Source organism: Homo sapiens, chromosome 11 (assembly GCF_000001405.40).
Source record: "Homo sapiens chromosome 11, GRCh38.p14 Primary Assembly".
In the NCBI taxonomy this organism is placed as follows: Eukaryota; Metazoa; Chordata; class Mammalia; order Primates; family Hominidae; genus Homo; species Homo sapiens.
The window spans coordinates 131,950,491-131,965,954 of record NC_000011.10 but is presented as its reverse complement, the minus strand read 5'-3'; the positions used below and the strand labels follow the sequence as shown (position 1 = coordinate 131,965,954).

Sequence of the window (15,464 nt, the reverse complement as noted above, 5' to 3'; positions counted from 1 at the left end):
CCTCCTTTCCTTCCCCCTTCCCTCCCTCCCTCCTTTGCTCTCTACCTACCTACCCAAGCTCCAACCCTTCCTTTTTCCATGTACTATTTAGTATTCTTATGCAGTGTTTACTATGCTAGCCATGGCAGATTTGAAAACTCAGACACAGTCCTCACCTTCAATTAGCTGATAGTCCACTGAAGTTTTCTCCAGTGCCTTTGTAAGAATAAATCACTCCAATGTTTGCCTTTCTGGGCGGCAGCCTGAGACAGTGACAAGAGTTGAAAGATGCTTCAGAGTCACAAGCCTCCTCCAGCTCCACCACTGATCAGCGAGCTTACTCAAAGCACTCAACCTCGTTAAGCTTCTATTCTTCATCATTAGCATGAGGACAATAATTCCTACCTGAGACTTTCATTTGACAATTAGTCTAAATATTATGTAATAATTACAATATTTAATAATACAATTAATAATAATTAATTAAAATAATGTGCCGATGCCCTTTTAGCATGTAGTTGGCATTCAAGCATTAAAGTCCCTTTTATGTGCCTCCAATGCCCAGCAGTGACTGCATTCCTTTCTTACAACCCTTATTTTATTCTGCCTCACTCTATAAGTTATTTCCTTGTCTGCTTTCCAGGAGACGTTGAGTCCCTGGTGACCTCCCTCCACTGTACAGCTTTGCAACCACAGACTGGAGGAGGGTTACAGATCAGAGCTCCTTTCCTGGCCTGTGCGTCCCTCATTCATCCTCTTGGCTTCTGTATATGTTCCTCCTGATACTCTTTCTCCTCTGTTCAACCCTTGTTTTCCATTGCTTTGTCATGCACTTCATCGTTTTCGGAGCTCCTGTCTCCCTCATTCTGCGATGCTCCCCTATTCTATTTCCACCCCTTTCCCCACTCTACCCCACACATCCTCCCTTTTCTTCCCCAGGTTCCAGCGTAATCCTCCCATCCTCTCCTCTTGATCATCACTCTCTGTCAGGCTCCTGTCCTCACAGACCAGCCAGGGTAAGTTTTATTGATCTCTTGGTAATGCCCGAGTGCCTCTGAAGGTTAAGGTCAACAAGAGTAAAGCATCCTGCTGAACCACAAAACCTAAACTCTCCTTTAGTATGAGGGGCATCAATTATTCAAAGCTGTCAGATCACATGGCACTCTCAAGCTGGTGATACTGCATTAAAATGTGGAATGAGCATGGGAAAGACCAGGATAACCAGTCTTCACTCACAACCCAGGGAGCCTCACCCAGGCTACTGGGAGGCTGACGATGATGGCCAGATCTAGCCATTGATCACAGGGACAATGATGCCTAACAGGATTCCATAATGAAGAGAGACCATCAAAGAAGCTATTCATATCCAAAAAGTCTTTGAAGCTTTGAATATTTATTTTTTTCTTGTGTCCCATAATCCCATGTGTATCTTGCCTTAATTTCTCTACTTGCTTAATATTAATAATTAGACACTTGAATTCTACAAAAATCAAAATAAATTCAAATAATGCTGGGTTTCACTTGTCACTTTGGCTATGCCCTGGCTTATTTTGCTGACACTTTAGAGGCTGCTGTGATATCTCAACAGTAGAAGTGTTGCATATTTTAGTTAAAAATACACGGAAAACAAAGAGCTGTGAATTAGAAGTCTGGGGGAAATTTCACCAGCTGACTCATTCCAAATAAATGTGTGCCTTACAACAAATGACCCATCTAAGTAGATGTTACTGTCATCTCAGGAAGCCCCCAACCAACCCCTGGGCCTCTGCACACGCGGTTTCCCTGCTGAGAACTGTCTTCTCCAGCTCCCTTGGTTAATGTCCACTCACCCTTCTGGACTGTTCTTAGATATCTCTTCTTCTGGGCAGCCCTTTGGTCTGGCTTAGAAACTCCTCCTAGATGTCCCCAGTTCATCTTTTATTATAAAATCACTGAATTTATAATCCTGTGTGGTAATTCCACTAGAAGCCATGTAAGACAGACTTATACTAAGTATAACTAGCGTACTTAGTTATACTAAGACAGATTAGAAGCATACATTCAGAAACTACCTGGGCTTGGATTCTGACTCTAACACTCTCTCTCTGTTTTCTGATCCATAAATATGAGAATGATAGCCACAGTATCTACCTCAAAGTGTCATTCTGATGATTAAATAAGTAGGTACATATAAATTACTCAGAAAAGGCCTAGTGCATAGTGAGCACTATATAAGTGTAGCTGTCATCATTATTATTTTGTCTGTATAAGCTCTGTCAGGGCAGAAACAATTACTGTGTTATTTATTCACTACCCTGTGCCTATTCCAGAGCCTGGCATGTTATCCTACATAATGGCTGAATCAAGGGATGCTCTCAACATAGGAGTAGAGCTCCAACAATAACCTGCTCAGTGCCTCTGGCTAGAATCCTTTTAGCAAGGTCACAGGAGATATTCTCCATGGGTGTCTTGCATTTCTGCACATATTGCAAGAAGAGGACCTATCTTTTCATGGATATTTGTAGACTGAACAACCTGAAAGACAGAGATAATATCTCCCTTCTGAGCAGAGGACATGTTTTCTTTAACACCCAGTATAACAAAAATAATATTTCCCTCCCAGGCAAAAGTTGAGCAGGTTTACTTGCAGTCCATTATAAAAGATCCAGGTTCCCCAAACTCAGAGTTATCCAGCTGTCATGCAAACACAACCCAAGTGTCTAGCCTCCATTTGCGCTGCTCTGGGTCACACCTGTGGATTTGGGGTGCTTGGGGAGCATGGCGAGCTGGTGTGAACTTGAAGCTCATACCACTGGCTGTGCCACAGTAATAAAGTCTTTTGCCTAGGACCCAGGAGTCTCGTGTCTTTTGTTGGGTAAAATCTCAGATCCATCACAGTTCCTGACAGATTTCAGTGATGAGAATGGGATGCTGACAAAGATGTAGCTTTCTGGAAAAGTAAGGAAGTGGGCGTCCCAGGCTGTGTCAGGGATATGAAATGACTCCTTGACACCCTGTAGCAAACGCTATTTCACACTGATGGGTGGGGGATGCAGTGAGTAAGGATCTTCACTATCCGACCTATTAATGAACGTTTGGAGGTTGCAGTGAGAAGTAGGAATAAAACGAGCTGCTGAAGGACAGTGTGGTCATTGCTCACACTACTTGGGGTGGAAGGAGGGAGGGATGTTTTCATGAAAATGGGGTGGCAACCTGAGCCCCAGCTGACAAGAAGGCTGCAGCTGCTGAGCCCAAGGGTCCACAGTCAGGGTAAATGGCATAAGCAATGAGGACACGGAACTTTGTGTGGATTGCAAACATTAGTGTCTTGGCCAGTTAGATCATCTGTAACAAATTACCATAGACAGAGTGGTTCAAACATTTGTTCCTCAGGGTTTTTGAGGCTGGGAAGTCCAAGATCCAGATGCCAGCAGATCTGGAGGGCAAGGGCCCGCCTCCTGGTTTCCTGATGGCTGCCTTCTTGTTGTGTTCTCACAGGGAGGACAGCAGAGAGGGAGCTCTCTTGTGTCTCTTCGTATAAAGGCACTAATTCCATTATGAGGGCTCCAACCTCATGATCCAATCACCTTCAAAGTCCCCATCTCCCAAAACTATCCCATTGAGGGTTAGGGTTTCAACAGGTGAATTTTGGAAGGACACAATTGTGCAGTCCATAACATTAGAAATGTGTTTGGTTGTGCCTTGCTTATTGGCATGAAACTGCTCTCGACCTTCACACCCCTTGATCCTTCCTACCCCCTCTACTCTGACCTCAACTGCTTTAAAGAGAAAGATGATTATGAGAGGGGCTGGTATTTCTTGGTGCTCCCTCAAGAGGTATTGCAGGACATATGCACCCAGGAAAGTATGCTAAGGAGCCATAAGGAGGGAAGGGGCTCAGAATGAAGGGAATCTGATGGGTGTAGGCACCCACAAACCACCTAGGCCACTCACAGAGATGACACAACAAACGCCTGTTCCCTCATGAGACCAGGCAAAATCAAGTTGCTGATGGAGCCTTGGTGAAACATGGACACCATTGGTGCATGGATCCATCATCATCCTAGATGTGGCAACATGTCCGCCTTCCTAGACTAGGCACACAGTAAAAGACTCTATGTTTCGAATGCAGGGACTACCACTGCATTTCACACTTGGTGACTCCTGACAAAAGGTGATCTCTGTCTCAGTGGGAAAGGTTGCATGGCATGGGGAATTACCCCTGCCCAGTTCTGGAAGACTCACTCACTCAGTCTGACTTTTGACCCCCTCTCAGGGCTATTGATGCTGCCTCACTGCCGGCCACTCTTGCAGGATACAGTGCTGCTGCTCCAGTGTAATCTGATTCTGCTCCCCATGCTAGTGTGGCCTTTGAGACCAACTTGTGTCATGTGCTAGGCCTTCCAGAGTATCTTCAGTCTAGCAATGCTTCACCTTTCATCAGACCAACCTGTGTCATGTGCTAGGCTTTCCAGAGTATCTTCAGTCTAGCAATGCTGCACCTTTCATCACAAAAATGATTAAATAATGGATTTGATAGTCAAGGATTACTTGACGGGCTTTAATTCTCCCCATCATCCACAGGCATCTGGTATCACCAAGCTTTGGAATAGCCTCTGAAAAATTGAATCAGAAAGATTTCTGTCTCTTTTTCCCTCATGTCCTCCCACTCCACACACCTTAATAGGGTGCTTTGGCCCCCGAAAGTGGCTGATCCAAGAAAGGGATCATCTCTTTCCTGCCATTTCCTGCATAATCAACAGGACAAAATAAATGGAGGGAACAATGAAGGTTTTTTCAAATTCAGGATTTCTGCTTGACCATTCCTGGGAACATGAGTTATTTTCTTCCCTTGACAGCAACCCCAGGCCAGCATAGTTGGCCCACCCTTTGGGTAGCAACCTGGCTACAAAAGGATCTAGGGGACTCATGCTTAAATCTGGTTAGGCTGCCTGAATTCTCTTGTTGGATTGACATGCTCCTGGATGAAAAAGGTGATGGCCAGTAGGTTGAAGACGCTGTTGTCCAAATCCCCTCACGGTGCTCAAACAGGCCAAAGTAGGAGGCATGACGCATCTCTGTGAATTTCAAAAAGCAATATTGACCCTCCTGCACCTGAATCTTCAGGATGAAAGTTCCAGGTATCAGCAGAAAATAATTGGAAAAGGTGAAGTTAGAGCTACTGGATGTAACAGACCAATTTTGCAGAGTACGGACCAAAACCTCAGGCACTTGGAGAGGAACGCTGTAGACCCTGGAAGGGAACAGGATGGATCTTTTGTCATAGAACCACTCCATAAATCCTCTTCATGAGGAAAATGACCTGATACAGTTCTCCCAATCTGCTGCAAATACCTTCATTTAACTGACTCTTGGGTCCAGCATCCCCTCCTGACAGCTCTCAACACAATTTGATCACGATTCCCCTTAACCTAACTGAGCAGTTTATATGAACATTAGGGGATGGGGCCAGCTCCTGGAACATCATCACAAAACATATGTCAACATCTGCCATTGTCTCCCCGATTCCCTTCCTAGAGTCACTGACTGCTCCATGGTTCCACAGGCCAGATGAATGGCATCCAGCCGGTGACATGGATATACAGGGCAGGAAGTCCCTCAAAAACAGGGGTTAGACTCAATTATTCTAGCAGAACTGAAGCCCCTAAGTCCTAACGATCATGTAGGAGATGACACTGGAGGCAATGTCAAGTTGTGATTCTGGATGGACGGAGGTCTTACCTGGGAGGGTCCCAACAACTGTAAACAAGACTTTCCATCCAGGGGCACCATGAACACCCTCGAGCTTGTACTTCTTGTGTGGAAGTAGGCCTTAACTTGCCCCTTCTGAACACCCTGTGACTTTTACGCTCAGAGGTGCTCACAGAGAACCTCAAGTATTTAAGGAGATAACACCCTTGCCCTGGAAGGAATTCAAATCAGCTTCAATGCACTGGCCAGGATTGTTATGGATAACACAACTACCCTCCACTGCCTCTTTGCAAGCCTACTCAGGTCTGTGCAATCTCTAGTACATGCTGTTGTACCTGCATTCATGCCTCAGACAAGTGAGAAAGTTAATATAGAAACGTAAGGAAAACTTTCCCTTTTGTTTCTCACCTGGACCATGATTGTCTGTGGCATTTCTTCATCTGGTTAGGTCTGGGATCTTGGGGAACAATGTTGAGGTCAATACTGTAGAACAGCTTCATCCTGCTGCACAAAACCCTGTTGATAGTAGCTTTAATTAAATGCTGTATTAGACAAATTGAATGGATTTGCTACCAACCTTGATCAGTCAGAGTGGTTGATGAGGTGGTTTACTCATGAGAATATTCACCCGCAGGAAAACAAGGTAAAGTATTGTTTTAGACACTCTGTCACTCAGGCTGGAGTGCAGTGGTGTGACCACAACTCACTGCAGCCCAGAACTCCTGGGATCAAGTGATCCTCCCACCACAACCTCCCTAGTAGCTGGGACCACAGGCATGCACCACTACACCTGGCTAATTTTTTTTAATTATTTTATTTTGTAAAGATGGGGTTTCTCTATGTTGCCCAGGCTGGTCTCAAGCCCCTAGGCTCAAGTGATCCTCCCACCTCGGCCTCCCAAAATGCTGGAATTACAGGTGTGAGCAACTATGCCTGGCCATGACTATCTTTTCAAGGATGTTAATACAGCGAAGAACTTTAAGACAGAAATGGTGTCTCCCTCCATGGCACAAGGCAGATTTTTATGTCCAGTAAAATAAAGAGAACACCTCTCTTCTGAGAAAAGATTGGGCAAATCTGCGGGCAGCCCATTACAAAAGATTTGAGTTTGCTAAATGAGGGGTTACTTGGTTGTGGTGCAAACCACCTCAGCACAGAACATCCACTTGGGCCATACACATCACCCTCTTGAGACCTGGGGAACAAAAAGCACTGACACGAACATGGAGCTCATGCTGCCTGCTGTGCCACGAGTAACAAAGTCTTTTATCTCTGACCCTGGAGTCTCGTTTCTTCCGCCAGCACCCCTGAAACAGTGGCATGTGGACTTGTTTGCCTGAAAGTAGGGTAAAATCCCAAACCCTTGACCATTCTTGAATAGGCCACAGTGATTTCTTAGTTGGCGAAGGCTCCTATTTCTCTTCCAAAAAACTTCTCTTCCTTCATTTCGTCACCATAAATCTAATGGAATTCACACATTACAGGGCAAGAACTCGCGAGAGTAGTACAGAATCAGCATAAACAGGTAAGTGATGGGAACTGCTAAATGCTCACTAGTGTGCTGAGGCTCATCAAGTTGCTTGGTTTGTGGGAGGCCAAACTTCACATTACAAAACGTAGCTGCACTCATCAACATACACAAAAATGTAACTTATCTTCTTCAAGGCTCTTTTGTTTCAAATACAGAAAACAAATTGGGGTGGAGGAAGGACGGTGTTCATGTCTCTTTCTTAGATTAAAGCCAGTGATTCCAGGTTGACAGCACAGAAACTGTTAATACAAATAATTTCTTGTTTTCCCTAAACACGATTTTCTCATCAAAGACTACAGTTATATAGGGAAGTTCTTGAAGTCAGTGCTAAGTTATGAATTAAGATTTACTATCTGAAGTTTTGGCTTACCTGTGCGGTCTTCTCTGTGGGTGGGGTACCTCTTCACTCTGTTCTCCCACAACCCCTGAGAGTCTACCAAAGCACTGAGAGGGAGGAAATACCCTACCCCTGCCCCATCACTCCCCTGGTACTGAGGCACCCAGGATACTTTCTGAGTGCCTTTTACGTTCTATGTCTCTAAAGACTGCTAAATTGGGTCGGATGTGTGGGATTAAGCTCACCTCATAAAATTTGCTGGAGAAAATCTCAGATCCATTAATACTTCATAAAAATTTTACAAGGTTTCTGCTAAAGGAAGGAAAACAAACAGAGGTGGTGTCGGCATCTAGGCGCTCTTTAAATCAAACATTCTCTCGCTAATGCATTTTTTTTATGGCACCAATCAGAAAAGCAATCAACCATGAAGCCTGCGGCTTCTTCTGCTTCCATTCCTACAGCAACATTTCTAGGATCTTTAAGCATTCTGCATGAGGCCACAAAGGAAGCCTCTCTATTAATATTAATATATATAATACACACACACACACAACCACCTATTCATCCATCTATCTCGACTTTCCTTCGAAAAATTCCCTGACTCTAAACGACTCTCTATTAACATAAAAACTGTCCATCTTCCAATTTGAGATCAGGAAACGAGGATAAGATGATAAATTGATCTTCTCTATTCTGAAATTTTCTAGGGTAGGAGGGGGAGATATAAAAACAGTGGACATTTAAGACTAGTGGGATGGCAATTAAAATGCTCTTACACTTACTACCTTTATTTTTATGTGTATTGTCTGTGGGAATAAATGACAATAAAATAAATCACAGGTAACGGTTGGGCTGCAGGGTTTAAGAATGCACTAGTCTTGCAGTGGTGCAGGGAGAGGTTTCAGAATGATCTTAGCGCTAGTGAACATTAAGAAAAATTTTCCCAAGAAGTGGGATGCAAAGTGGACTGTGTCTGAGGGCCCAGCTGAAAACTGCACCTGCAGGAGGGAGTTGGAGGGGAACTGGCTTTCTGGGATAAACCCAGAGACTGGGCCAAGTTGCATTACTTCCCTTCAAAGCCAGGGCCTTTGGAAACTTGCTTTTTCATCACAGAAAAATTAACTAGAATATAAAAGCAATAATCACACTACCAAACATTGGTTAGACTTTTTTCTTTTACCTCTCATATATGTTACAATTATCTGGTCCTCAGGACAATTTTGTGAAGTAAGACAGCTGTAATATCTTGGAAAGAAAACAAGACTTTCACAAAAATAAAAACTGCTGTTTAAATTCTAGCATGGCCACCTCGTAGTTTACATGACCTTGGAGGTCTATAAACCTCAGTTACTAAATATGCATATTAGAGATGATATTCCCCCATCTAAACCATGATTAACAGGATTAAATGAGGTAGCACAGAGGACACAATGTAGACAGCACAAAATAGGAGCCTGAGGAATACAGCTTGTTTGCTCATCTTTCCAGGCAGTTACAGTATCTGATTAATAGCACCAAGCTGGTTGGTGGAGAGTTTTGCTTCCAGTCCTGAGCCCTGCACACTTTTTACTACATGACTTGGGCCTTTTGCCTGGCTTCAGGCTGATGCTGTCCCACAAAAACAGAGGCTGACCATAGAGTGAAGAGGAAGGCCATTGACTCACACCCAGTTTCCCCTGGCAAGCTACCTGGCTAGAAGACAAAGGCAAATTTTAAGTGAGTGGAATTGTGGGCAAACACCGGAGCTGGAAGAAAGGGAAGGGTCCATGCAGACAGTTCCGCTCCACTGTGGCTCAGCTCCCCCACCCCCAACCCCCCGAGACACCGATGAAAGGAACCCAGTCTCGGCAGTACCCTAGGAACGCAGGAGATGACCCAAGCTTCCTGCATTCTTAAGAGCCTCACTATTTAACACCCCTGAAAACTCTGGCCAGATACCCAGAGTAATGCTAAAGTATCCTAACTTGCCTGGGAAAGCCTGCTGAAATCACCTCTACTGAGAATAAATCAATCCAAACATCAAGCTCATCATCTTTCTCCATATCCCCGCACTCCCAAATGCCTTTTTAATGTGGACAACTCAGATCATATATTTAATAACTAGGACTTTCAAATGCTAGAGGTCACATTCTGACTCACATGTGGGGGCACCCAGCTTCTCCCTGCCATTCAGACGTGGAAGTGAAAAGAAGCAACTGCCCAGAGCAGAAAAGAAATCAGCACGTGGCATTCCCCACGTCTCTGCGCCTGGCCCTGACTGGGTCTCTATAGTGCGGCTAATGTAAATCTGTGGCATTTGCAGAGAGGTTTGTCCTAAAGAAAATCAATGGCAGACTCCCTGACACCGGGTAGCAGACATCCTCCAGACACTGGCTTCCCTGCCTGGCCCAGGGAGTGCCTGAGCATGTTCAGAAAGGAAGTACCTCTACTCAGCCTCTGCCCTCACAAGTTCTGTAAATAATTCAGCAAGACAAGGATGGAGCTATCTTAAGAACAGGCTCCAGGGGCTGCTTTGCCCCAGGAATCTTGGACATCACAGAGTGCCCCCTGGTCATTTTCTGCTGCTATTTTTAAAAGTCAAAGCGCGGACATTATATTTAGGAGAAGGCAATTTTGGAGTCATTGGGCTAGAGTGGTGATGAGTCCCTGGTGGGGGCACTGGCACAAAATCTCCCTGTGGAGTCACAGCACAGCACCAGAGGTGGGAGGTCGGGGCACTGGGAGGGTGGGAGGGACATGGGTCCTTCCAGGTCTTGGTGCCACATACTCAGCACACGATTCTTACCTTAGGAAAGTCGGCTTCCTAAGATATTTAGTTCTTTTGTCATTTATGTATCTTTTGATGTTTTACCTTTCCTAAAAACTACGATAATTATCCTCCATTTATAATTTATCTCTCTGGCCATCTACATTTTCCCCTTTACATTTTAAACTCTTTTAAAAACACACTTGAAGAGGCATCATTTTCTCGCTAATTCCTCTCCAAGGAGAGGGAAGGCCTAGCAGTTGCCATAGTGCCACTTCCCAGAGCCCAGCTAGGATCCATGTGTCTAGGTAATAGGGACAAAAGATCAAGTAGCCCTTCAACATCTGGGGAAAATTTCAAACTCATTACTATTCCAGGCAACGCAGTTTAAAACAAAGGCATGGCATTTCCACCTATCAAGCAGCAAACCTAAACAAAATGATAATAGGTAGCATTGGTGAGGGGTGACAGCAGGAAGAACCAAGCGGGCTGAGGCTGAGGCTGAGGGTGGAGGTGCTCAGGGTACCTTCCTGAAGGGCAATTTGACAGCAGGTGTCAAAAACCCTGCTGTTTGCATATTCTCTGCCACAATACCACTGGAAGAATATATCCTAAGGAGGTAATCATGCTTGTGAATAAAGACAATGAGGATGTTCATCTGAACAGTATTTACAACAGCAAAACCACTGGAAACAATCTAACTCTCTCACCACTGAGCATTACTACTTAAATGATGGTCCATTTAGAAAATAGAATATTGTGTAGCAATAAAATATAACATAAAATATTTAATGAAACAGAAAGATGTGTATATACATAAGTTATATGAGTAGGTAACAAAAGATTGAATTCATTTTTTTAAATGAAAAATATAACTACATAACTGTAGAAAATACCGACAGAAGCATATACACTACTGTGTTAACAATGACGAATGTGGATGGGGAATTACAGGTGGTTTTAATTGTTCTGTTTTGCTTTTGCTTATCACTGCTCCCTAAAACTTTGCACAACAAACATAATGTTTTCGTTAAAAAAAAAGTATTCTATAAAATTTGATTGAGTGTACACTTTGTGCACTATGGGTGAAATTACTTCAATCAGACACGCAGGTTCCCTGGGAGGCGCTGATGGACAGGGATGAATGTACATCCTCCTGCTGTATCATCGGGAGCCCTGAGGAACCTGACTTGTCGGCCTAATGTGGACCCAGTGAAGTGCATTAGAAAAGAGATCACCACCTCCCTTCAGAGAGCCAGAGTCCCTGATCGTGTCCAGGTGAAGGCTTGGCCTGCAGCCTCACTGCTGTGATGGGAAGGACACCAAGCAGCGACAGTCACCCTCCTGCCTCACTAGGTCTGGTCAGAGCAGCAGGCTAGCCCTGCCTCTCCCCGACTTCTGCACATCTACCGAGGCCTCCTGCCCTGTCTGCTGAGTGAAGCGTCCTGTGCTACTTACAATGCCTGTGTCTGGCTCCCAAAACCACTGGCCTCTGGTTTTCAGAGGACATCGCGTGCCAGGAGACATCCTCTCAGGTGGTTGTTTTAGGAAAAAGGAGGGCTTACCATAAATCACAGCACTGTGAGCATATAGCCATGGGGAGTAGAGTTTGGGGATCCCTCCGATTCGACTTGTTAAATTGGAAGCTATTAAATACAATAAATTCACCTTGCCTGCCTTACAGATGGACTTGATATTACCAGAAATAGTGGCTAAGGAGGGAAAGAAAGGCTGGCTTTCTCCATCTCCACGGAGTGGCTTGGTTCATCAGATTCACGTTAAAGGTCTACATTCTCCTCATGGCAAACCATTTATCTCTCTTCTCCTCATTTTTCTCACCTCTGATCACTTTACCTTTTCTCCTCTTCATTTCTTAAACTCTTTTTAGCTTGCCAACAATTTCTTTTTTCCCTCACTCTCTTTACTCCTTCTTTTTCATTAGAAAGTGAATTGATGCTCTACAGAAGCCTGAGTGCCTGTGATCATTTTGTATTTTGTCCAGTGCTGAGCCTCAGCCAGATTTAATGTTGCCCAGGCCAGTAATAGCAAAGAAAACTGACACAGAAAGCCATCACTTCAGTGAAATTACTTGCCTAGAAAAAGCTCCCTCCTTTGGATCAGGTGGTAAAATTGTCTATTTTTTCCCAAATATTTTAATATAATTTTAATGCTACATTTCACTTTATGTCATGCTCCATAGGTAGGTATAGTGGTCTTCAAGGGTCTGTTCTCAATATTAACTGTGTGTATACACATAGACACACACGCATACTCAAGTCACACAAACTTGGAGTCTGCCATTCAAAAAGCTATGGATACTACACTCGCCCCTTGTAACCAGGAGGATAGATCTCAATTTTAGTCCTAAGATATATCGTGAAACTATCTTATAAAAATATGGAAAAAAATAGAGCGTGCCTCTATTTTTAGAAGGCTTAGCACCTCATTGTTCATGTTTATTGTAAAACCAATGAATGTTGCCATGGCAACAGATGGTCCGGTCTTTCCCTGATGCCTGAAAGCCAACCAGGGTCTGCCTTACCTACCCCATGCTTGTCCTTGCTAGCAGCTGGAGGAACTTGAACACGGCGCTTTCTACCTAAGAGTCATGATGAATGGCTACCTTCTGAATTTTCAAAATTCTTAAAACTGGCACCAAACAAACAAGTTAGTGTGTATTTCTTATATCAGAGACTTTAAGTCTATATGCCACCACAAGATCAGAATAACAACAGCAAAATGTCTCTAAGGTGCCTTTCCTTTCTGTTCTCTGGGGCATCAAGGCCTATCATGATAGATAGCAAGGGCAAGAAGAGAGAAATAGAGATAATGCATTGGTCACCAGTCAGAGCTATCCCAACCTGACATCCATGTTTGCTTATTTATAAAGCATAACCATTGTAATAGGTATCTTTGTGTTGGAGTAATAAATTTCTTCTTTTTTAGAGAAAATTAATTGAGTTGAATGCTTTAGATTTCTGCCAGTCTTTAAGTTGAAAAAAATGCAGTCACACTGTCTAGATCTCTCAAAGTAACACCTTAACAATCAGGTTATGCGTATCCACAGTTGATAGAAACATTTTCACAAGCACAGAGACCTATTTGACTACATGCAGAAAAAATCTGAGGCCACTAAGGGATAGCTGAGAGAGAGAGTGTGTAAATAAAAAATTAAAATGCCCATAAGTATGTATGCATTGATGCAAAAAATGTTTACTGAGTATATGTGTATGTATATAAATATATACATACGTGCATGTACATATATGTGTGCACACACAAACACAATACAAATAAGTTTAAACTTGTAGGAAGTATTTAGATGACTATAGAGTTCCTGCCCTGAAGGAACATAGATCCTGGTAGTAAGGGTCATATGCATACATCTATAATTCAAGTTTGAAAATAGTAATACAGTTAGAAATTATGTTCAGATTAAGGGTGAAGGGTGCTCAGAGGAGGAGGAGGTACTTGAGTCAGAGAATGAGATTGAGAATCGGAGATGTGTTTTATGAGGATAGGGACATTTAGGCTGTCCTTGAGGGGTATCCAGGATTTCGGAATAGAAGGAAGTATTTCAGGAGGAGGAGTCTATAAGCAAGGACACAGAGGAAAAAAAAGTGTGATAAAAGAGAATGTATTATCAGACTTGTTAGGAGTAAGACCAGGGTATTACTTTCTTGTTGTGAACTTTTATAGGTCATATACTATCTACTAACAAATAGCAGCTTTGACCAATCAAAGCAGAAATCGCATTATCATGACTTTGGGTTAAAGCTCTCATCTTCTGTGGCCTATGAGGTGGGAGTAGTGGATGGACGTTGGGCTTTTTTTTTTTTTTTTTTTTTTGAGACGGAGTCTTGCTCTGTCACCCAGGCTGGAGTACAGTGGCACAATCTCAGCTCACTGCAACCTGTGCCTCCCAGTTTCAAGCATTTCTCCTGCCTCAGCCTCCTGAGTAGCTGGGAATACAGGCACACACCACCACACCTGGCTAATTTTTGTATTTTTAGTAGAAACGGGGTTTCACCATATTGGTCAGGCTGGTCTTGAACTCCTGACCTCATGATCCTCCCGCCTCAGCCTTCCAAAGAAGCTGGACTTTCATCATCAGGATTTTCCCCCTATCTCCAGAATCCAGACCACTCTCCTGCAGGCCTCTATCTTTGCTTCTGTGTGGACAGCTCCTTATTCAGAGGAGCAGGTTAATAGGGTGGAGAGGGAGCATCTGCTTCAGAGAAGGCTGTCAAGTGAAAGGCAGTAACACTGCCTCCAAACCAGCTTTTCATAGGCCTTTACTTATTATTTAATTTGGCTGTAGAGGATGGAATTAGGCTAATGGCTGTTAAGTGGCTAAGGCACAAACATGGTCCATCTGCCGAGAAGGCTCAAGGCCATTGTCTATTTCAAAGGCTAAGGAAAAAAAAAGATGAGTGAGACATACTGTTACACTAAGAGCCTCATCAAATGCCTTTTTATTCCCCCTCTGATCCTATTCCTTTCAACACTAGTGATTTTCACGGTACCATACTAAGAACTCAAAATCAAGGCCTAGATGCTGGCCCATTACTAAAGGGAAAATAGCTCATCCTTGCTTAAGGCTACAGGCTATTGTAGTAGAAAGCAGCCTGGGCAGCAGCAAAATGATTCAGTCCATTAAAAAAAAACAATTACCAAACAACAGCAATGTCCAGGGCACTGTGCAGAACACAAGAATAATTCCTGACTTCAACTTGCCTCCCACCTTGGATACAGGGGAAGACAGAACAGGTTCCTGATGAGTTCTAAGACATGGCAACGTGCTCAGCAACTCCAAGAGAACCAGAAGGAAGTGGAGGAAGAAGAGAGGCCATGCGTGGGAGGATTAGAGAAGGGTTCATAGAGAAGAATTTCATTTTTTGAGTTGGGCTTTGAAGAGAAATAATAGTCTATAGTTACGGAGCATGTATGCCAGGCAGTCTATATACAGTATCTAATGTAACTCTCACAGTATCCTGATAAGGTAGGTGCCATTATCTCCTCCCCCTTAACATTTTAGTAAACGGAGGCTAAGAGAAGTACCATCCATTGGCCAAGCGGAGTCAAGATTTGACCAGACTCTGTTCTTTTTCAGCTTATGTAGGACCTAAACGTGCAAAGGAAGGATGAGGGTGAAAGGGGAGTGAGTGGGCTTCCGAGAC

The 15,464-nt window shown here is 43.6% G+C and overlaps 1 protein-coding gene across 41 annotated transcripts in view, besides 1 other annotated feature; it reads right to left on the bottom strand.

The window, feature by feature from the left end:
• Positions 1–15,464, bottom strand: part of NTM (neurotrimin) — a 966,208-nt gene that overhangs the window by 370,868 nt on the left and 579,876 nt on the right. Inside the window, exon 3 of one of the 41 annotated variants that reach the window (NM_001386967.1) lies at positions 6,079–6,186. The exons of the other annotated variants lie outside the window; for them this stretch is intronic. Coding sequence (NP_001373896.1) covers positions 6,079–6,186 — 108 coding nt within the window. The remainder of the gene's footprint in view (positions 1–6,078; positions 6,187–15,464) is intronic. 41 annotated transcript variants of the gene reach the window in all.
• Positions 10,675–11,176: an enhancer, noted in NCBI's record as "NANOG hESC enhancer chr11:131824673-131825174 (GRCh37/hg19 assembly coordinates)". NCBI's record gives its function as "activates a minimal SCP1, AML or CMV promoter by ChIP-STARR-seq in naive H9 embryonic stem cells {active_cell/tissue: H9 hESC(naive)}" and the evidence as "EXISTENCE:reporter gene assay evidence [ECO:0000049][PMID:30033119]".